Here is a 22,699-nt window from a genome sequence, read left to right on the forward strand (position 1 = left end):
GTGACCACAGCTCACTGCAGCCTCAACCTCCTTTGCTCAAGTGGTCCTCCTACCTCAGCCTCCCAAGTAGCTAGGACTACAGGCATGTGCTGCTGTCCCTGGCTAGTTTTTTATATTTTTTGTAGAGATGGGGTTTCTCCATGTTGCCCAAGCTGGTCGCAAACTCCTGGGCTCAAGTGATCCACCTACCTTTTTCTCCCAAACTGTTGGGATTACAGGCACTGCGCCCAGCTACATTTGATATCTTTGAGGATGAGGAAAAAGTGTTTATGCTGTGTAAATAAACTAAATTGAGTCCTGCCTTCAAGTAGTGGAGATAAACATGTACTAGCTATAATCTGAGGCAGAGTTGAGAGGAGTTGGGAGGAGCAAATAATATCCAACTGAAGCCTTCAAAGTCACCCTCTTTTAAGAAGTGACACTTGACCTATGCCTCAAGGCTAACTAGGATTTTGATTGGTGGAGAAGTCCTGGAAGGACATTCCTGGAAGAGAATGCACCTTTTACAAAAATATGCAGGCATGGAAGCATGTGACCTGGGTGGCAAATAGTCAGTGGTTTGCAGCTACAACATTTTAATACGTGGAAAGAAATTTAATGAAATGGGTCAAGAAAGTAAAATTGAGGAATGCTTTGTGATTTAAAAAACAGTGAGAGTTAATTAAGATCAGTACACTTAAAGCAAACCTGAAACTTACTTTTTCAGAAGTGTAAATTACGGTAATATTTGTTATTTAAAAAAAATTTTGAAAGTCCATTTTTCTTCTAGGCTTGAGTTGCTGGTGTGTGAATTAACTCAAGAGTTGTTCAGACAACTTCAGTTAATATTTATTTGAAGAGAAACTTCTATGGAGAGAAAAGTTAGGAAACCACTTCATTTTTCATGAGAACAGTGGGATTTTGAAGTTAGCCAATGACAGAATCAAAAAAAGAAATCAAAAATAGAAATAATATTAGATGGCCAGGTAACATTCTTTTCAGTGCATTTTGGTTGTTGATATTGCAACTTGCTTTGCATTTTGTATATTATATATCATATGCATTTTGTTTATATTGATAGAATGGCTGAAAGTTTAAATAAGGCAAAAAATTGTGTTTAGGGAAAGGCTGCTAGGAAATTGATCCTTTGAACCCAAAGAAGATAATTCACTTTGTTCTCCTGGATTAATACAATTAAATCATATTTGATAGTGCTCTCTCAAGAATGTGAATTTTTTTTTTTTTCTCACAAACCCAGATTCTGTTTTTCCCTTAAGGACTGTACCAGGCCACTACTATTCACCATTGTACTGGAGATTATAGCCAGAGAAATTAGAAAAGAAACAAAAGATGTGTAATAGCAGCAAGAAGGTGCAATAGAAAGCTCATATGCTTCTTCTCCCCACAGAAATACTGATTCAATAACAATACACACACCAGACCTCTTTGTGAGAAATCCGGAAACTAGTTAAGAGGCTCCTGCATTCTAGGTGAGCAGTAAACCAGCTGCAGTGAAGATGGTAGGAAAATTCATCCTACTTGCTCACCATAGTTCATTCCCCTGGCTCAGCATGGCATGAGCAAGAGGAAACTCCAGGCTCCTGGTTTTTCCCTGGGCGGGGAAAGAGAAGACTGAAACATCTGTGTGACATTCAGATTTTTCAGAGGTCTGCCCAAGGGTCTGGTTTTTATTTTGCTTGAATATAAGTTCTGACAGGAAAGGGCACCAGGTTGCGGGGTCATTGAAAACAAAGTTGACAGTTTAGATTAGCAGGCACTCACCATGGTCCCTCCCCCTCCCTCAGCATGAAACCAGCAGGAGAAAATCCTCAACTCTTGGCTTCTCCTTGGGGAGACAAAAGAGTTGGAATGTGTGTCCAGTGTTTCACCTTTTCAGTGGGCTGAGGGACTGGCTTCTGTCTTGCTTGTCTTGGAAAGCTGACAGGGGCTGGTGTATTCCAGGTGCCCAGGAGCCACTGAGAACAGAAGACTTGTTGCTGCTCTAGAGGACCTATGGTAGGGCAGACAGAGGATGATACAGCTCAGCAGCTTGTCCCTACGTGTGGCATGAAAGGTGTTGGAGAGAGAATAGTGGAGTATGTGTCCAACATTCCAGCACTTCAGAGAGCTACCCCCAAGGGACTGGCTTCTGTTTCACCTGACTTGGAGCACAGGCAGGAGTGGACATACTCTAAAAGCCCACTGATGGGAAAGGGCACCAGGTTGGAGGCCTCTGAAAACAAGAGAGCTGGGTGGCTTGCAGCAGCTCCAGAGAACCTGAAGTACCACAGACAGATAGCACAGGGAGCAAAAGATTATGAGATCCTGAAAAAGGAAACGAACAAGTTCATCTTGAGAATTTATACACACTGGTCGAGAAGAAGCATCCTCAGGAAAGGTTCAAAAGGCATGCAGAATCTCTAGTCAGGCCGATCAGTGAGGATCTTTCTCTGTACAGAGCCAGACCACAAAGACTGGGAGGGGTGATATTTTTTCAAATGCTTGGATCCCAACATGATGTTAAAAGACACACAAAGAAATAGGGAAACATGGCACAATCAAAGAGTCAAAATATCCAGGAACCTACTTTAAGGAAACACAGATATCTTCATTATCTCAGAAGGAATTCAGACTAACCACCATAAACATGTTCAGTGACCCAAGGAAAATGCTGCATGAACAAAATGGTATCAACATAGAGATTGAAAACGTAAAAAGGAACCAAACAAACATTGTAACAGATGCAATATGCTTCTTTGACCAAATTGAAAGATTTACTAGAGGAGTTTAGCAGCAGTGTTTTTCAAGGAGAAGAATTAGTGAACTTGAAGCCAGGTCATTTGAAATTATCCAGTCAGAGAAGCAAAAAGAAAAAAAATAAAAAAAGAATGAAGACAGCCTAGAGTACTAATGGGACAGCATCAATTTTATCAATGTAGATTGTATGGAAGTTCCATATGTTGGAAAGAGAAAGGAGCAAAAAGCTTATTTGAAGAAATACTGGCCAAAACTTCCCAAACTGAAGGAAGGCAGTGGACATCCAGATTCAAGAAGCCAAATGGACTCCAGAGTAGAACAATCCGAAGACATCTACATGGAAACACACTGTAATCAAATTGTCAAAGAATTTTGAAAGCAGCAGGATAAGAACAACTTGTCATATACAAAGGAGATTCTGTGGGACTCTAAGTGGATTTCTTAGCAGAAACCTTGCAGGTCAGAAAGAAGTGGGATGATATAGTCAAACTGCTGGAAGAAAAACTGCCAGCAAAGTACTGTATGTGGCAAAACTTTTCTTTAAAAGTAAAAGAGAAATAAGATTCTCAAAATCTGAGAGAGTTCATCACCACTATATCTGACTTAAACGCCAATGGGAGTCTGTTAAATGGAAACAAAAGTATGTTCAACATGAAAGTATAAAATTAAATGATAAAGCTATGGACAAATAGAGACCTGCATATTATTGTAATGGTGGTGAGTAAATCACTTATTTCTGATATATAAGTCTAAGACAAAAGTTTAAGTGCCTGTAACTATAAAAATATTAATAGATGCACAACATAAAAGATGAAATTTGTAGCATCAGTAATGCAGTATGGGGATGGATGAGAAGAAGCAGTATTGTATGCAGTTGAAATTATCAGCTTAAAATAGGTTTATTAGAAGATGTTTTATGTAAACTCCATGGTAACCACAAAGAAAATACCTATAGAAAATACACACACACAAATAAGGAATCAAAGCATATCTATTAAAAAAAAAAACAGTGAAACAAAAAGCATGATGGCAAGAGAGGAAAGGAAGGACAAAAAAGTTTCAAGATAGAAAATCATTAACAAAATGTCATTGTAAGTCCTTCCCTATCAGTAATAACTTTAAATGTACTAAACTCTCCAATCAAAAGACATAGAGGGGATGAATGGATTAAAAAAATAAAACCAAGAGCCAGCTATACCCAGTTTATAAGAGACTCACTTCAGATTTAAGGATACTTTTTATTTTTTTACAGAAATGGATATACTGATTCTAAAACTGATACTGAATTGATAGGGATTTAGAATAGCCAAAACAATTTCGAAAAAGAACAAAGTGGGAGGATTCACATTAACTGATTTTAAAACTTAATACAAATGTACAGTACTCAAGAATGTGTGGTACTGGTATAAGGATAGACATATAGATCAGTGAAATAGAATTGAGATTGCAGAAATAAGTGCATACAGTTATGATCACTTTTCAATAACGATGCGAAGACAATTCAAAAATGTTATTTTCAAAAAATGGTGCTGAAATAACTGGGTTTCCACATGGATAATAATGAATATGGATCTATACCACACACCGTGTACAAAATTAACATAAAATAGATCAAAGATATAAATGCAGGAATTAAAGACATAACATTTTTTGAAGAAAACATAAGGGTAAGTCTTCATAACCTTGAGTTGGGCAGTAGTTTCTTAGATGTTATATCTAAAGCATAAGCAACCAAGAAGAAATATAGATTCAAATTTGTCAGAATTAAAAACCTCATATTGCAAAATGCACTGTGAGAAAAAATGAAAAGACAATCTACAGAATAAGAAAAGTATTTGTAAATCATATATGATAGTGGTCTATGATATGGTCTGAATGTTTGTGACTGTGTCCCTCCATTCATATGTTGAATCCTGTAATCATCAAGGGGATGGTATTAGAGTTACCATATGACCCAGCAGTTGCATGCTTAGCTATATTCCAAGAGAATTAAAGATGCATTTATTAAAAAAGTATATAAACTTACATATTATTTGCTAACAATGCAAATGCTCATTGGCATTTTTAACAGCATTATTTATAATAGCCAAAAGTGCAAATAACCCAAATGTCATCAGCTGATGACAGCATAAATATAATGTGGTATACATACAATGGAATATTATTCTGCTATGAAAATGAATGAAATACTGATACATGCTCCAACACAGATGAACCTTGAACATATGCTATGTGAAAGAAGCCAGATGCAGAAGGCCACATATTCTAAGATTCTAGATTAAGTATCCAGAGCAGGTAAAAACAGAGGCGGGAAAGTGTATGTTGCCTGGAGCTGGAAGGAGGGTAGAATGGGGAGGCATGAGTTTTCTTTTGGGGAGGATGGAAATATTCAAAGATAGGTAGTGGAGATGATTGTAGAAGTCTGTGAATATACTAAAAACCATTGCATTATATACTTTGAAAGGCTGAATTTTAGAGTGTGTGAATTAAATTTAAAAAAAAAACTATCTCATACTGTCCAACTAGGAGACAGAGACCATATAGTGATTTTAACAGTGGAGGTTTAATACACAGAATTACTAGTTATAACATGATTGAAGAAATAGAAATTGACTTGTAAGAAGTAAAGACAACTTTTAAGAATACTGTAAGAGCAGACTTAATAAGTAGCCACTAACTCTAGGGCTGTTCCCATACTGGGGCTGAGATTCAGGTCTGGTTGAAGAGGGGACAGATGTCACTGGCAGATGCTGAAGTTGCCGGATACCATGCTTCTGGAACTTATTCTCCCTCTGGCATTCTGAACCTTGGAATTTGCTGCAGAAGCCACGTGAAGGGGTTGAGAAAGCTGCTCAGGGAGATTCCTTGGTGGTGGCATTCTGCTGCAGAGTTACTCAATAGAGTGCTGGGGTGAGCTTCTGCATGCTTGTGAAACTACTCCTGGCAGGAGTCTGGCTAGAGTAGTACGTTGGAACCATGAAGAGAAAAGCTCTTCCTCCTACAGTGTACCTCCAGTTGCCTCTACTGACAAGGCTTAACATCATGCCAGCTGGTAACAGAGCAATGTTGAAAGAGCTCAGCTCCATTTTGGGAGAGAAAGCAATAAGAAGTGGATTTGGAAATGGGAGGTAATAAATTGATACCTGAATCAAGAATCTTACGTTAAACCACATACCAGTTTAGCATATATTCTGTTTTATTGGGTTGAGTGAAAGTATCAGGTATTCATCTCAAAACAGCTAAATAAAATTTAAAATATGCATTCATATAATACATTTAGAGAATTGTGTTTTAAATTATTACAAAAAGCAATTTATAACTAAAAAACATACTTCTACTTAATACAGAAGTATTTTAAATGAAAAGTAAAAATTTCCCTCTTATTCCTCACTCCTTTACCATCTGTCTTCTGAAGAAAAATCTGTTAGCAGTTGATATAGTTTCTTCTGTATACATATATGTGTGTATATATTTTTCTTAGTAATAGAGGTTCATGTATTGATACTGCATATGATCTGCTTTTAGGCTTTTATTGTTAGAAGGAAATGTAGCTGTGTAATGCCCAAGGGCATTGTACTAAGGGTAGTTTCCTAGTCCTGGCTAAGTTGCAAGTACTTGTGTAAGTTAGGAGTAAGTCACATAACTATTCTATTTGATTTTCTAAATTTGTAAAATGAAGGGACTTTTACTTGAATTTTAAAAATCGGTGATGGATATAGTTCAATAATACTATTAGGGGAAGGAGAGGTAGTTTGGTAATTCTTAAGTATCAGCTAACTTTTAGTATGGCCTATATATTCTTATTTTTTAATATGTTTTGCAATTTAAATGTTTTTTATTGAGTTAAATAGTTCTACTTGTTTATGTGTCTGTGGTTAGCTGTGTATACTATTTCAATTTCTATGACATTAGAGTAATAAAACTTTCTTTTTTTCTTTAGAAGAATCCTGCAAAAATGTCTCTCTATCCATCTCTCGAAGACTTGAAGGTAGACAAAGTAATTCAGGTATGATAGTTTAAATACTTTTGTCAAAACAAACACAGTAACATGCATTCTACTTATAGGTGAAATAAAGCAAGATAGCTAAATAGCAGATATATTTGTTCATTTTTACACTTCATAAACCTTTTTTTAGTTTTATTAATTGCAGACTGAAAAGTTTACAGAAAAATTAGCAATTTTTTTTTTCATTTCACTGTGAATTAATAGGCATGAGATTTTTTTAATTCGACTTACACTTTTTACATTTCTGGTTAAAATTTAATTATATGTAACATATTTGAGTTGACAAAATATACTCCAATTTTGTAGATATTCATAGTTTTGTATAAAATTGGTATATTTTTCTTTTGGATCTTTAGGTATGACCACTCTTTAATTCTATGTCTCTTAACTGAAGTTAAAATTACAGAAATAGTGGCGTACATGCTGCTTTTAGAAGAGCAGTCATGTAAGAGCACAGGGAAAGTGTAGTGATTTCTTTCCTTTGAGAGATGAGCAGCAGACATTTCACTTGTTCATTCTCTAAATGACTGTGTAGAGATTGCAGTATTTCTAATTGCATTGAGTTGAAAATTTTTATACTCCTTTGTATAAGTATTAGCTTTGAAGACAAATGCTTCTGCTTAAGAACAAAGTGAGGAATTGGGACCAATTCTGGCTAATTGGGAAATTTTTGGTAATTATTTTAATTGGGGGTAATTTGTAGTATATGATGAATTTGTTTACGGTTAGCTTTCAACTTGATCTCTTATCAATTTAGAATTTCTTCAGCCGTTGTTTATTGTTTTAATTTGACAAGATAAACGAAAACTCCTTACCCTGAAGATCATTTTATTGGGTCCCTGTCTTCAATTTACTAGAAAGTGAGATATTCAATTTACTTACTGATAATTGAATTATGAACAATTATTTTCTATCATAGATCCAGTATGGATATTAAAATGAGGTTTGTAAAATCTCTAAAATCTACAGTTCAGCTGCCAAGGCTTTGATGCCTCAAAGTTTCAAGTGGCCTATTCAGTCATCTTTTACATGTTCCTATCACTTCTTTAGTATTTTGTCAGTATTTTCTTCATGTGGTTTTTATTTCCACATAGTTCATCTAAACAAGCACTTTTCTTTTTAAAAGGCCTTTATCTGAAATATTTAGCTTTCCAGAATAACTGCTTAGCCATTAATATGACATCAATACATTAACTGATAAGGATTTTTAGATGGACCTGTAAGAATGACTAATCTGTTCTTTGTTTTCATCCTTTTTTTGTTAGCTTTTTATGGAATTGAATGTAAATTCACCATAGTCAGATATGAGCTGAGGCTTTTGGTTTTGAAAACAGCAGCAGCAGAAGAGTTGATATTGACAAATATTGGAATGAAAAATAAAGAGGGCTACAATCTGTATCATGCTGCCCTCTTTAAGCAGAAGTGAATTACATAGATATTTACATTAAAGAACGTTTTATGTTCAGAGCAGAAAGCAGCTGGGAGATAGAACAGTGAATAAGGAGTGGGAAACATGGTTCTTTTATTACCCCTGAATTTAAAAATATTCCTAATTTAGCCATTAAACTCTTTGGCTGTTTTTGTTTTGTTTTGTTTTGTTTTTTTGCATCATTTTCTAAGGTGGATGATACTCATGTTTGTTTTTATTCTTAAGATTCTCCTGAAACGGTATTATGAAGGAAGGTAGTATTCATTTTCTCATCTGCTGGCCTTTAACACCACAGCAAAGCTAAATTACAGCAATGAACCAACCATTCATATTTTGTAAACTATTCTGCAGTAGCCACTAGGCTGTGGCTTTTAGCATCATACAGTCCCTAGACCTTTTTCTCTCCATTCCAAATCCTGACAAGAGCCTGTGGTTTCCTCTACTTATGCAAAGTAAGCTTTTAATAAATAATGATATACAGAACCAGAGCTTATCAGTTTCCTAATATGGTGGGCAGAATTTGGCAGCAGTGACGCTACAAGCATGTTTTTTCCACATCCTTTCTGTTAATGGCAGAAACAATAGGCCCTGGCATGCTCCTTGGGGCACCCCAACCCCTTTTTTTAGTAGTGTCACATTTCAAAGTAAGTTTGAAATAAGTAGCTACATTTAATGGTTTACAGTACTTAAAATTGGGTTACATCCTTTTGTTTCATTTTTACTGCAAATAACATAATTAAATTTAACTTTGCAGGGAGCTTTCTATATGTATTCTTCAGTATTCCTTGGATTAAAAACAATAGCAATGAAAGAACAGAAATTCATAACTACATACAAAGGAGAAGTATTTTAAATTAATAAGCTGTGTTTTAGAGCAATTTTAGATTCACAACAAAATTGATCAGAAAGTACAGTATACCTTCTGTCCTCACACATGCACAACCTCCCCCAGTATCAGCATCTGCACCAGAGCAGTACATCTGGCTCATTAATATCACCTGAAGTCTACATATTTACATTACATCACATTAGGGTTCACTGTTGGTGTTATATGTTCTGTGGATTTTGACAAATGTATAGTGACGTGTATATAGTCATGTGTTGCTTAAAGACGGATATGTTCTGAGAAATGCCTCATTAGACAGTTTTGTCGTGCAAACATTATAGAGTGTACTTCCACAAATGTAGATGGCATAGCCTACTACACATCTAGGCAGTATGGTATAGTCTGTTGTTCCTATGCTACAAACCTGTATGATCCCACCTGTATGATACAGTAATACTGCATGTTACTGTACTGAATACTGTAGGCAATTGTTACACAATAGTATTTGTGTATCTAAACACAGAAAAGGTATGGTAAAAATACAATGTAAAAGATTTAAAATGGTACATCTGTATAAGGCACTTACCATGAATGGAGCTTCCAGGACTAGAAGTTGCGCTGGGTAAGTCAGTGAGTGAGCGGTGAGTGAATGTGAGGCCTAGGACATTATTGTATACTGCTGTAGACTTTATCAATACTCTATACTTGGGCTGCACTAAATTTATTTAAAAATTTTTCTTTCTCGAATTATAAATTAACCTTAGCTTCCTGTAACTTTAATTTTTTAACTTTCTGACTCTTGTAATAACATAGTTTAAAACACAAACATTGTACAGCTGTATAAAATATTTTCTTTCTTTATATCCTGATTCTATAAGCTTTTTTCCTATTTTTTAAATTTTTAGTTTTTAAAAATCGCTTGTAAGTTTGTTAAAAACTGAGACACACACTCACATTAGCCTAGGCCTGCACAGGGTCAGGATCATCAATATCACTGTCTTCCACCTCCACATCATCCCACTGAAAGGTCTTCAGAGGCAGTAACATGCATGGAGTTGTCATTTCCAATGGTAATAGTGCCTTCTGGAATACCTCCTGAAGGACCTGCCTGAGACTGTTTTACAGTTAACTTTTTTTGTAAGTAGAAGGATATACTCTAAAGGGTATAACACAGGAAATACATAAATGAGTAACATAGTCATTTATTATTATCAAGTATTATGTACCATGCATAATTGTAGATGCTATACTTTTTTATATATGACTGGCAGTGCAGTAAGCTTATTTACACCACCATCACCACAAAGTAATGAGTTGTTCTGTGTGACGGCAGCTATGATGTCACTAGACAGTAGGAATTTTTTAGCTCTTTTATAATCTCATGGGACCACTATTGTATATGTGGTTCATCATTGACCAGAACAGGCAGCACATGACTGTATACCATTGTAGCATTAGACAGAATAGGTTCACTGCTCGAAAAATTCTTTAATGCCTGTTCTTCCTTCCCTTCTAGAAACTCCTGGCAACCAATAATTTGCTTTTGCTTTTGTGTTTTCTTTAGCGTCAGGATGTCGCTCTGTTGCCCAGGCTGGAGTACAGTGGCACAGTCATGGTTCACTGCAGCGTCCATCCTCCTGCCACAGCCTTCTAAGTAGCTGGGACTACAGGCATGCACCACCACACCTAGCTAGTTTAAAAAGAAAATTTTTTTTTCCCCCAAAACGGAGTCTGGCTCTGTCACCAGGCTGGAGTGCAGTGGTGCGATCTTGGCTCACTGCAACCTCCTCCTCCTGGGTTCAAGCAATTCTCCCTGCCTCAGCCTCCCGGGTAGCTGGAATTAACAGGCATCCACCACCATGCCCGGCTAATTTTTGTATGTTTACTAGAGACAGGGTTTTGCCATGTTGGCCATGACAAACATGACAACATGCCATGTTGGTCAGTTGAACTCCTGACTTCAGGTGATCTGCCCACCTCAGCCTACCAAAGTGCTGGGATTACAGGCATGAGCCACTGTGCCTGGCCAAAACAATTTTTTGCATAGGCAGGGTTTTCCTATGTTGCCCAGGCTGGTCTTGAACTCCAGGCCTCAAGCAACTCTCCAGCTTCAGCTTCCCAAAGTGCTGGGATTAAAGGCCTCAGCCACTGTGCCTGGCCTAATATTTTATTATCTCCACAATTTTGCATTTTTCAAAATGTCGTATAGTTGGAATCATAAAGTATGTAGCCTTTTGAGATTGGCTTCTTTCACTTAGTAATATCCACTTAAGTTTCCTCCATGTCTTTTCATGTCTTTATAGTTCTTTTTTTTTTCCCAGTGCCGCACAGTATTTTTTTTGTTAGACATGATTCAAGAAGTAATATAACAAGCCACTAGCTCCTTTTAGCTAATCGGTGGTGAAAGAACTTTCAAAGTTCAACACATGTTCAATTTGTGGATTGTTATTTATAATTATAAAGATTTTCATGCTGTATTTTGTTTAAATCTAGAATGTTTAACAAATTATGAAATAATAAATATTAAAGGATGACTCAACAAGTATATCAGAACATATAATTTTAGTACCATTCAAAGCTTTCATAGGCTTTACTTATTTAAACTAAGCTTTCATATCTCCAAGCATCTTTGGGAATACTCTTGACATTGATTTTAGGGCTAGGTTGAGATACTACTATGAACTTCATTTTTAAAATGATACATTTCCAATAAAGTAAAAAGTTGGTAGAGATTGGTCATACAACTTATTACCAAACTTGTCTCTAATGACATATAGCTATTTCAGAAAGTCAGATCTAATTGTAAAGGATAAAGTATTTCCATCAGTGAGATACTTCATATGATGTAGGCCATCAAGACAGCCCTGAGAAGAGGATACTTGAGCATGAGTAGCATTGATAAATGCTAGAGTGTCAGAGTGTGTCAGAGTGATTTTGGCAAGTTTGTTTAACAGTTACAAATTACATTACCTTGTCATCATCGATTTATGTCAGTGATAAACTGTGCTATTTTCATAATTTCTGATATTTTAAAAGTATTTAGCATAAACCCCTTCCTATACTTGCTGCAATGAAGATAAAGATGATTTCAGTGGGACATGCTTAGTATTAATTTTTTAGGTGTTTTTCTGATATGTGACTTTTATATGAATATGGGTAAGGTTTTTTCTTATGCAAATAAAATATTTTTACTTGGACTAATTAGTAAAAGAATAATGAAAATGTAAAATTTATTCATTTTAGAATGCACTTTGAAAATATTAATTTATTGTGGCAGCACTATGAAGTGCTGGTTATAAGACATGTAGAATGGTACTTCTACAATTTTTTTGTGATAGCCTTAAAAGTATTTAGAATATCAAATATAGTTTTGATTTGCAGATTTCCTTTGGAAAATGTATTGCTGATGTGTTTGAAATTAAACTTTCTTACATAAATCTTCATTGTTTTAGTTTCTTTTTGGAAGTACTGGATTTAGCTTATAAATTATATAAGAATATAAAGTAAGTATAGCATATTGTTAGAATTTTCTTCTTTTCTTTTTCAGGCTCAAACTGCTTTTTCTGCAAACCCTGCCAATCCAGCAATTTTGTCAGAAGCTTCTGCTCCTATCCCTCACGATGGAAGTAGGTTTATACTTTGAGTTCATTCTCTGTGAACAGAAATATTGTTATCTTCTTTTGCTCATATAAGGAATCCAAGATTTTTTTTTGGACAGGCTGCATAAAATTGGTAGTTAAGCTCAAATAGTTATGAATAAGAAAAAAAAGTTTACTTCAAAAAATAACCCTTTTTCTAATTAAGATAGTGAACTGTGGATATGGGGATGTATTTCATGGCTTAATGAAAATTAATTTTAGACTGACTTGTAAATCCCTAACGTGGCTGATTCATTTATGAATGAATTATATATATGAATTCACATATGAGAACTATATGAATTCACATTTAAGAACTATCATGCTGCTGCTGTTGAACTTTCTGAATTGTCTTCTGTCTTTCCTATGGGAGCTTCTGAAATTTCCAACCACCTCCTCTTTGGGAAGCCTCCTAAATCTTAAGGCCTTTATTCATTCTCTGTATCCTGTCTTTGGTCCCTTTTTCTTCAAGGTTCAGAGGGATTCAGGACAGAGCTCCTAAATACTATGACTTAAGATACAAAATAAGTGTTAAATAAGTTTTTGTGGCCTGTCATTTTGTCTTACAACAGTTTATAACATTGTGCCTCATAGAAAATTCATTTTAAGTCACAGATAATTTAAGTCTCATGTAAAAAAGAGCTTTTGGAAATAGTATATAACTACTAATAAGTGAAATAATGTTAATATTTAAAAATACCATTTCCAGGATTTCATTGGAATGTGGTTAAAATTATTAAAATGATAAGACACTAAATAAATTTACAAGCTTCCAAAAAAAATTGTTCATAAGAATCATTCCATATCCCTGTTTACAGAATGAGTTATAAAGTAGCTGACTTGACAAATAGATATTTTGGTCAGTTGTTCTGAATTGGAGAATCAGTGGCATTCTTACTAAATTCCTAATCAAGTAAGTTTATTTTAAGAAACAGGAAAGGCAAGATAGTTTATTTGGAAAAGTTATTTCTACTTTTGAGTGTTTAGGAATCTCTGGTTGTTTCAGTTCAGATGTCTTCATATTTTACGAATTTTAAACATTTTCTGTATTTTCCATTTCTCATTATTACAGAGATGGGGAGATGCCTTTCCAAATTGCTACTTTAAATTCATTCTAGATTTTATAACTTAAGTGTAATTTTGTTAATACGCAGAAGCCCATAATGAGAGAAGTTTTCATTTTGTGTATTCTGTAAGTGCTTTTTAATTTATTCATTTACTTTTTAGATCTCTATCCCAGACTGTATCCAGAGCTCTCTCAATACATGGGGCTGAGTTTAAATGAAGAAGAAATACGTGCAAATGTGGCCGTGGTTTCTGGTGCACCACTTCAGGGGGTATGTATAGTGTAATTAATTTTGATTTATATAAAATCATACTTTACATGTTAGTATAAGCTTTCCTCTTTGTGGCTAACTCACAGATATACTACTAGCATTGAACCTCACTTCTCAGAAATTTTAGACTTCCTTTTGGATATCATTTCTTATATAGTCTACTTCATTTTGTGCTACACTGTTTTGAGTTTATTAGGACTTAGATTCAGATACCTTTTACTAGTTCGTTCTCCTTTGTCTTCTGCATTTAGTCAGTTACTAAGTCCTATTGATTCTGTTTCTGTTTCTTGTATTCATTTTATCTGTTTTTTATCCATTCTAGTCCTACTATAACCATATTCAGGGTTTCTATACTTCTAGCCTTCATTATTATAGTACTCTCTTAAATTTCCTCTAGTAACTTATTTCAGACAGTACTAAGCCGCTGCTAAGTTAATCATTCTGAAATACACATATAGGTCTATCATATCTTTGTTGCTCATAATCTTTTTTTTTTTTTTTTTTTTTTTTGAGGCATAGTCTCACTTTGTCACCCAGGCTGGAGTGCAATGGCGTGATCTCGGCCCACTGCAACCTCCGCCTCTTGGGTTCAAGCAATTCTCCTGCCTCAGCCTCCCAAGTAGCTGAGACTACAAGCGCGCGCCACCATGCCTGGCTAATTTTTTGTATTTTTAGTAGAGACCGGGTTTCACCATGTTGGCCACGCTGGTCTCGAACACCTGACCTCAGGTGATCCACCTGCCTCGACCTCCCAGAGTGCTGGGATTACAGGCATGAGCCACTGTGCCTGGCCTTTGCTCTTAATCTTTTAACATTCTTTTTGAAATTCAAAGCTCCATGTAATTAGACTCCAGAGTCTAGCTTAATTATAATGGGTCTGATAACCTTTTATTAAGGTTATTGCTATGACCATAGCACTTTGTACCACTTATTATAATTGTAGTTAAATCTGTGTCTGTCTTGTTGCCATATCCCAATGCATATACAGTACCTGGCATTTATGTATTTACCAAATATTTATTGAAAACTTGCTTGTGTTAGTGGTGATGCAGTTGGGAAAACAAATAATAGTAGGTATTTTAAGAGGTTGAAAAATTGAAAAAAACATAAATGGACATAGATGTAATTGCAGATAGCTAGCTGCTTCTCCTAGGACTGGGATAACACAGGAGAGAGATTGGAGTTAGCAGAACCTAGAAGCTTGAGGAAGAGCCCCACGGAGCTGGGACTCAGACCTTGGATGAGGGGACACTACTAGTGCCTCTGAGGGGTTGTAATGAGGCTGGTTCTGGGAGTGTCAGTAAAAGTTGCAGACTGGAACCAACTGCTGCTGCCAGTGTAAAGGGCCAGGCTTACACAGTACTGACAGGAGCAGGAGGCACACAGGAAGGAATGAGGTGCTTGTCATTCCAGTCACTGACAAACGAAATTATAATTTGCACAGTTAGGCCCAGCATCACCAAGTAGAGTCTAGAAGGGTGGATTTGGAGCTGACAAACAGTAGTTTAATATCTGTTACCACCTACTCCTTTGACTACTCAGTATATCCACACACTTGTACAAACATTTGAATTTCATGTGACAACAACAACAACTTTATAGTTTCTCCTTGAAAGATGAATTTCTTCATAAAATCAAAGTTCAAACTTTATAAAGGGCTCCATAATAAATACCTTAGGCTTTCATGGTCACTTATGATCTTTATCACATATTCTTATTGTTATTTGTTTATTTACAATCTTTAAAAATATAAAAATCATTTTTAACTCAGGGGTGTACAAAATGAAGCCATGTACCCTTCAATATAAATGAAGTTGCTCTCACCCTTTCTCTAGAAAGGGATGATACCAGTTAATGTGGCCATCTCTGGGCAGTCATCATGGTATTGATTACTATATGATACTAATTACCCTTCTAAGTATTCACATTCCCAACAGAATATTTTTAATTTAAAGGCAAAAGTGTAAAGTTAACCACTACCAACAATTCATACATAAAGGTAAAAAGAGGTATAGAGGAACAGAAAGATTAATTGCTGTATTTACAGAAAATATACAAATACAAAGAAGAACAGAGTCATAGCTGCTCTGATTCTTATTTTAGTAACTGATCATGAGGCTGTAGTTAAAATTTAGAACTTCCTTTGTTCACTACATGGATGCTTAGATCCCTTTGCCCAAATACCTAGAAGGGTGATATAACCTTCATTTTTGTGTCTGCATCTCCAGGGTTCTTCAGTGCGCCGCCTTTTATTTTTCTTCTGTTCTATTTTAAATTAATTTGTTGCTGGAGATTTCTGTTATCTCTTCATATCTAGTGAATTTTTCATTTCACATATTTTATTCTTCTTCTCTTGATGTTCCATCTGGATCTTCCTCTCCCCAGCTTTATTGAGGTATAATTAACAAATATAAATTGTATATATTCAACTGTATATATCAATACAACTTGATGTATTGATAAACACACACAAACACACATTGTGAAATGATTACCACAGTCAGGGTTATTAACGTATCTGTCATCTCACATGGTTACATTTCTTTTGGTGTGTGGTGAGAACACTTAAGATGTACTCTTAGCAACTTTCAAGTATACCGTACAGTATTATTAATTATAGTTACTATGCTGTACATTAGATCTCCAGAACGTACTCATATGATAACTGAGAAAGTTTGTACACTTTGACCAACATTTTTCTCATTCTTTGCCCTGCCCAACCCCAGCCCCTGACAACCTTCCTTCTACTCTCTATTTCTGTGAGTTTGACTCTTTTCAGATTCCACATATAAGTGGGACCCAGACAGTACTTGTCTTTCTGTGTCTGGTTTATTTCACTTGGAATAATATTCTCTACATTTATTCATGTTGTCCAAATGGCAGGATTTCCTTTTTTTAGTGGCCTAATATTATTCCATTTTCTTTTTGGTTGGGGAAAGGTTCCACTTAAAATAAACCAGTTTTGATTAGGAAAACTGGAAAGAATTAGAAACTTGAAACATGGTATATGACACAGGTCCCTAATGTAGGTATTCTGGGGCATTCTGGTTTGTGCATATGATTTGTTAATCCATAGATGGTTACTAGAGGGGAAGAGACATAATAGTTGACTGTCTTATGTGTGCCAGTGCCCATACAACATGCACTTTTCATTTAATCCTGTCAGTAACAGTGAGGTAAGAAATTTGCCCCTTTTATGGAAATTCTGAAAGGATAAGTAGATTGTCAAAGATCGTGACATCATGAACCGTCTGGAAAATGTTTCAAAAGTATATGGCCTTTAAGTTCAAAGATAATAAATTTGAGATGAAGACAAGCCAGTATACCGGTGAAACAAATGCCAGTGAATTCAAAGGGCAACAGAGAGTCATTGAATCTATTAGAGATGATATGTGTGGGAATAAGTTAGTGAAGAATTAGTAGTAGAGCCAGTGCCATTTTCATAGACATCAAACTTTATCGGAAGGAAATTATTTGTGGATTGCTTTTTGGAAAGCCAAAACTGAGTAAGTTCCAGTTAATTATCATTGTTTTTTTCAAGGAGAGTGTTTCTAGATATTGACACATTGTATATGGTTTTGTCAGCAGTTGGTAGCAAGACCTTCCAGTATAAACTATATGGTGGCTCCTGTAACTGGTAATGATGTTGGAATTCGTAGAGCAGAAATTAAGCAAGGGATTCGTGAAGTCATTTTGTGTAAGGATCAAGATGGAAAAATTGGACTCAGGCTTAAATCAATAGATAATGTAAGTATTTTAAATACCTATTTGAATTTGTCTAAATCTCTTACATAATAAGTGATTAATGTTAAAATAATTTGAAATGGAAATGCTTTAATTATAATAGTGCATCTGTAGTTGAGAATATTTTAAATCTACTAACTTAAATGTTTTCAATTGGGGATGTTCTATTTTGCAGAGGCATAGTTGGGACTTCTGACCACATTACTTTGAAAGATGTTTCTTTTCTGAATATTCTAACTGGAATACATTTCACTGGCCTACATATATTATAGTTTGTATAATAGAATTGTGGCAATTAAATAGAGCAGATGTGAAGGTTAAGAAAAAACTTTCCAATGAGAGTCAATGTCAGTGTGCCTTTTTTTTTTTTTTTTTGAGACGGAGTCTCGTTCTGTCGCCAGGCTGCAGTGCAGTGGTGTGATCTTGACTCACTGCAACCTCTGCCTCCCGGATGTGTGTGCATTTTTAAACCAAATGATCAGTATTTAACTGGTGAGATGGTTTTTGCAGATTTGTTATTAACATCCTTCACATTTGAATTTAATATGTCATTTTCTGAGTAAAAAAAGATGGAATATTCTTTCTAATTAGGGCAGCCTTTACTTTATAATTACCTCTCACCTTAACATACTGAAGATATGAAACAGGGTTACTCTCTGAGGAACCATTTATAATTGTGAAGGACATGTTGAGTCTTTACCCCAATTTATAGTTTTAGCCATTACCTTATTGGATTCGGTTTCAGTCATACATCTCTAGCTTAGTGCATCCAGCCTTTCCACATAGAAAATTATAAGTGTGGTGCACTGCTGTAAATGGAGGAGGCTGATCTTGGCAGGAGGCCCCCGCCCTGCCTGCCCACCCAGGGGGCTGAGGCCATCGATGATGGCCTTGCTCACTTGTATGTCACTCAAAATACATCTGCGTGCTTAGTTGGGATGCTCTGACTTTGCTGCCCTTTCTCCAGAATCTTCAGGGAATAGAGTATACTGCTGCTCCTTCCGCCAGGATTGCTCTTGTGTTCTTTCCTCTGTCCTAAAGAGAAAAGATACTTTTCATAGGCCCCTTGGCCCCACTGTAGGTAATAGTTGCAGTGGATTTGTTCACTTGGCCAAAGGGCATTTGTTCATTTATGGGGTGCTACCTAGTTCTTGCTTATCATTCTACAATGTAACAGATGTGTGATAGAAATATGTGACCTAGCTTAGGATTGTAGAAGTAGATGCACTTATATTTTACCAGGCTTATTCTTCTTTTATACTTACCTATTTATATTTTGTTCAACTTCTGATTGAGATTTTACATAAGTAAAAATATCCATGTGAGTGTAGTTATTGGTTAACAGTATTTGAGTTTTCTGTATTTATTTCATTGTGTGTTCTTTATAAGCCTGTGCATGTGGATTTAATATGCCCATCTTTTTAGTCTAACAAATAAACTTTAATCTTACTTGATTATACACAATTTAGCAAATGGGTAAAGGAATGCTTCAGCTCAAAAGGTAGAATTATGACCTTAAACTGTCATTTATTAAGCTGTAAAAGAACTCATCAAACTTTCTAACATGTGACTCGCTTTTCCCCTAAATATGATTATGTACTGATAATTTGGTATTCTATCAGACTCAGACGCTTGCATTTATTAAAGTTGTCCTACTGTATTTTCCTTAGTTTTGTATTCCAAGTTGAAGGGGGGGATTGTGGTTGGTCAGGTGGGTCATGATTTGGTATAGAAATTGCCATTGAAATCTCACTTTTTTGCCTTATTCTTTGGAGTTGCTGTCTTGATAAATTTTTCAGTTTCTTTTGAGGTGATAACTTAATATACTCATATAGTTTTTCCTTTTTTTCTTTTTCTTTCTTTTTTGTCACTGGGGTAGAGTTTTCAACATAAACAGTTGTTTCCTAATTTTCCAGCGTTTAAAACCGTATCATAGTAGTGGTAAATGACAAAAATTATTTTCTTATTATCTAGGGTATATTTGTTCAGCTAGTCCAGGCTAATTCTCCAGCCTCATTGGTTGGTCTGAGATTTGGGGACCAAGTACTTCAGATCAATGGTGAAAACTGTGCAGGATGGAGCTCTGATAAAGCGCACAAGGTGCTCAAACAGGCTTTTGGAGAGAAGATTACCATGACCATTCGTGACAGGTAAGCTGTTACTAAACAGCTCAAATGAAAATTCAATACTAGTTTTCCATTTTTTTGGGCTTTCAGAGTTTGTGAGTATATTATTTTGTTGCAGAAAATGATCAAATGTTATTGATGAGCCTTATAGTCTTGCAGTTGTGTGGTGCAGATTTTTCTTACATTGTTTTTAAAGCATTCTGATACGATACCTTATTTCAGAGTTTATAGGACAAATCTCTCTAGAAAATAGAAAACGTATGTTGGAGAAGTAACTGAGTTGCAGGGCATCTCTGGGCTCACTTTCCAACTTACTGCTTAGATACATCCAGCCTAGGGTGTTCACACACAGTGGTCCCTCATTGTGAGGGTCAGAGCCCATGCAGACTTCCAAGTAGTATGGGAGTTCTGAAAACCGTATCAAGACTTTTGGGTAGTTATGAAGCAGTAGTTTTCAAGAACATGGAATATTCTATTTAGCAGCTCATTCATTTAGAACTTAAACATTTAGCACATGAAATAGGGGCCTCCATTTATTTTCTTGTCTACTCCATACCCAATTAAGGGTAGACGTATATTGCATTGTTACAGTAAGCTTTGAGTTTTTGTTCCTTCTCAGTGAAACTTCTGTTTTATCTTTGTGTTTCCAGTTTCTCATTCAGTTTAGGTATTTCGTAAATGTTTCAGATGAATGTCCTTTTTACTTTCTATCTAAGCAGAGTTTCAAAGAGTAAGTTGTACTAACAGGAAGAAATGCCTCTTCTGAATTTAATAATGTAAACACAAGTTGATCCTAAAACCCTTATGATAACATGATAACAGAGTTTATAGAGAATCAAGCAAATGTGACTGCTATAACAACTCTAGAGGGACAGCTGGATGCCTTTTAATAATAGCTGCATGCCTCCCTTTCCAAAGGGGCTTGAGGAACTTAAGTCTTACTGCTGCTCTAGTTTTTCTTTTCAAAGATAGCAATGTATAAAATTTTCAAAATCAAGATGTGAGAAATATTTTAAAGGTTTTAAATAAAAGAAATAGTCCTAAAAATGATTTGGCTCTAGAAAATACCAAAAGTTAATAAAAAATAAAAATTATCTTTACCACTGTGATTTAGTTAAAAAGCCTATGTCATTCTTAATGCTGTAAAGTCTAATTATAAAAGAAAAACATATTGATAAAACCATATAAAGCAGTTGTCTTTTATACTTAAAGAAGGAAATGTTGATTAGTAAATCAGTCAAACCATAATGAATAAACTTAAAAAAAACTTTTACACAAAGATGTTCCGTGAATGTATAAAATCAGAGCCATAAGTTGCTCTTATTAGAAACAGTGTTTATTATAAAAGTATCCAATATGGCAACATTTATGCTATATGAAATCCATTAAAATGTTTAGCTTAGAATTAAGTTTTTAATTGAACCAATTATGTTTGTAGGCCCTTTGAACGGACGATTACCATGCATAAGGATAGCACTGGACATGTTGGTTTTATCTTTAAAAATGGAAAAATAACATCCATAGTGAAAGATAGCTCTGCAGCCAGAAATGGTCTTCTCACGGAACATAACATCTGTGAAATCAATGGACAGAATGTCATTGGATTGAAGGTAAGGAACAGACTTTGTGCCATGTTCTGCTGCAGTTTTAGAAAATGTCTGTCTTTTGACTGTATTTAGGTGGCGCTGTTTTCATATTGACTTAGGTGGGAGATGGGGAACGTGGGGCCTGAACTCTTGGTCTGGCCAGTCACCGGAATTATTTGGGCTGTCATCTAGAACTACAGTTCCTATAACAAGTGGGCTGGAATAAATGATCTCAGAAGTACCTCACACTAGAATTCTGTGGAAATATGGGCAACAAAGATTTAGAATATGAATAGTGGCCCAGCATTTCTCAATCCAGGAATATAAGGAAATGAATAATAGTTTTGGTTCATATTAATACTTTATTTTTATAGTTTTTCTCCTCCACAAATTCCTAAATAAGTCTGTCTTAAGGTCAAAAAGTTTTAAGCATGACCTCCTCATTTCATAGAATTTGATTTAGAATACACAGTTAATAAGAGGAGATGGTAATATTGTATATGGGGAAAATTATCTAATATTCAGAAAGGAAAAGTTTTTTTTTGGTTAAAATATTCAACTCAGTTTACTTAAGCAATTTGGTTACTAGCTGTAAAATAGTGTACAATTAAACTTGGTAAGAAATACTAGAAAAAATTAGAAATACCAAGACATATATTTTGTATTTCTTTACCAAGACTGGCATAGTTTTGTATTTATTAAATAAAGCCTCTGTGGAATTAATTTTTAATATGTGTTTTTATCAGGACTCTCAAATTGCAGACATACTGTCAACATCTGGGACTGTAGTTACTATTACAATCATGCCTGCTTTTATCTTTGAACATATTATTAAGCGGTAAGTAAACAATTCCTCAACTTAATGCATATGGTCATGTGACTTAATATAAGCACTATACTTTAATTCTCAGCCCTTTGGTTCTTTTACCCAAGGAATGGATACTGGTGTTTTATCTAGAAATTTGAAGTAAGTTATTTAAATCAGAGGGTTGGTAAGGATGAGCTCTTACAACTTCCCAAGTACGGAATAAAATTCACATATACTTTCCTCAGTTTTTATAATGCCTGGTAGAAAAAAGGTATGCAAGGAGAAGTGGGCATGCTTTCAGCTTTCAATTTGCAGTGCAATTGACTGCAGTTGCACTGCCTACCACCCCTCTGCTCAGTATAAATATAGTTGTGGTGGTTCGTAATGGAGAATTCTTGCTGGTGGAATGCTAAGAGTAAGTTTCCCTTCTCTCCAGAATCTCAAGAGGCAGATAGACAAGTGT

General features: G+C 35.4%; 1 protein-coding gene across 10 annotated transcripts in view; it reads left to right on the forward strand.

Annotated features, from left to right (window-relative positions):
• The window catches only part of SDCBP (syndecan binding protein), a 29,598-nt gene that overhangs the window by 5,082 nt on the left and 1,817 nt on the right, over positions 1–22,699 (forward strand). Inside the window, exons 2-9 of one of the 10 annotated variants that reach the window (NM_001348341.2) lie at positions 1,942–3,453; positions 6,677–6,742; positions 12,545–12,623; positions 13,863–13,972; positions 17,558–17,719; positions 19,691–19,866; positions 21,281–21,452; positions 22,175–22,266. In NM_001348341.2, the coding sequence (NP_001335270.1) occupies positions 3,406–3,453; positions 6,677–6,742; positions 12,545–12,623; positions 13,863–13,972; positions 17,558–17,719; positions 19,691–19,866; positions 21,281–21,452; positions 22,175–22,266 (905 nt within the window). In that variant the 5' untranslated portion in view covers positions 1,942–3,405. Of the gene's footprint in view, positions 1–1,941; positions 3,454–6,676; positions 6,743–12,544; positions 12,624–13,862; positions 13,973–17,557; positions 17,720–19,690; positions 19,867–21,280; positions 21,453–22,174; positions 22,267–22,699 lie in introns of those variants that run through there. The other 9 variants (NM_001330537.2, NM_001348340.2, XM_047422077.1 and 6 more) reach the window with 9 other exon arrangements.

Source organism: Homo sapiens, chromosome 8 (assembly GCF_000001405.40).
Source record: "Homo sapiens chromosome 8, GRCh38.p14 Primary Assembly".
Lineage (NCBI taxonomy): Eukaryota > Metazoa > Chordata > Mammalia > Primates > Hominidae > Homo > Homo sapiens.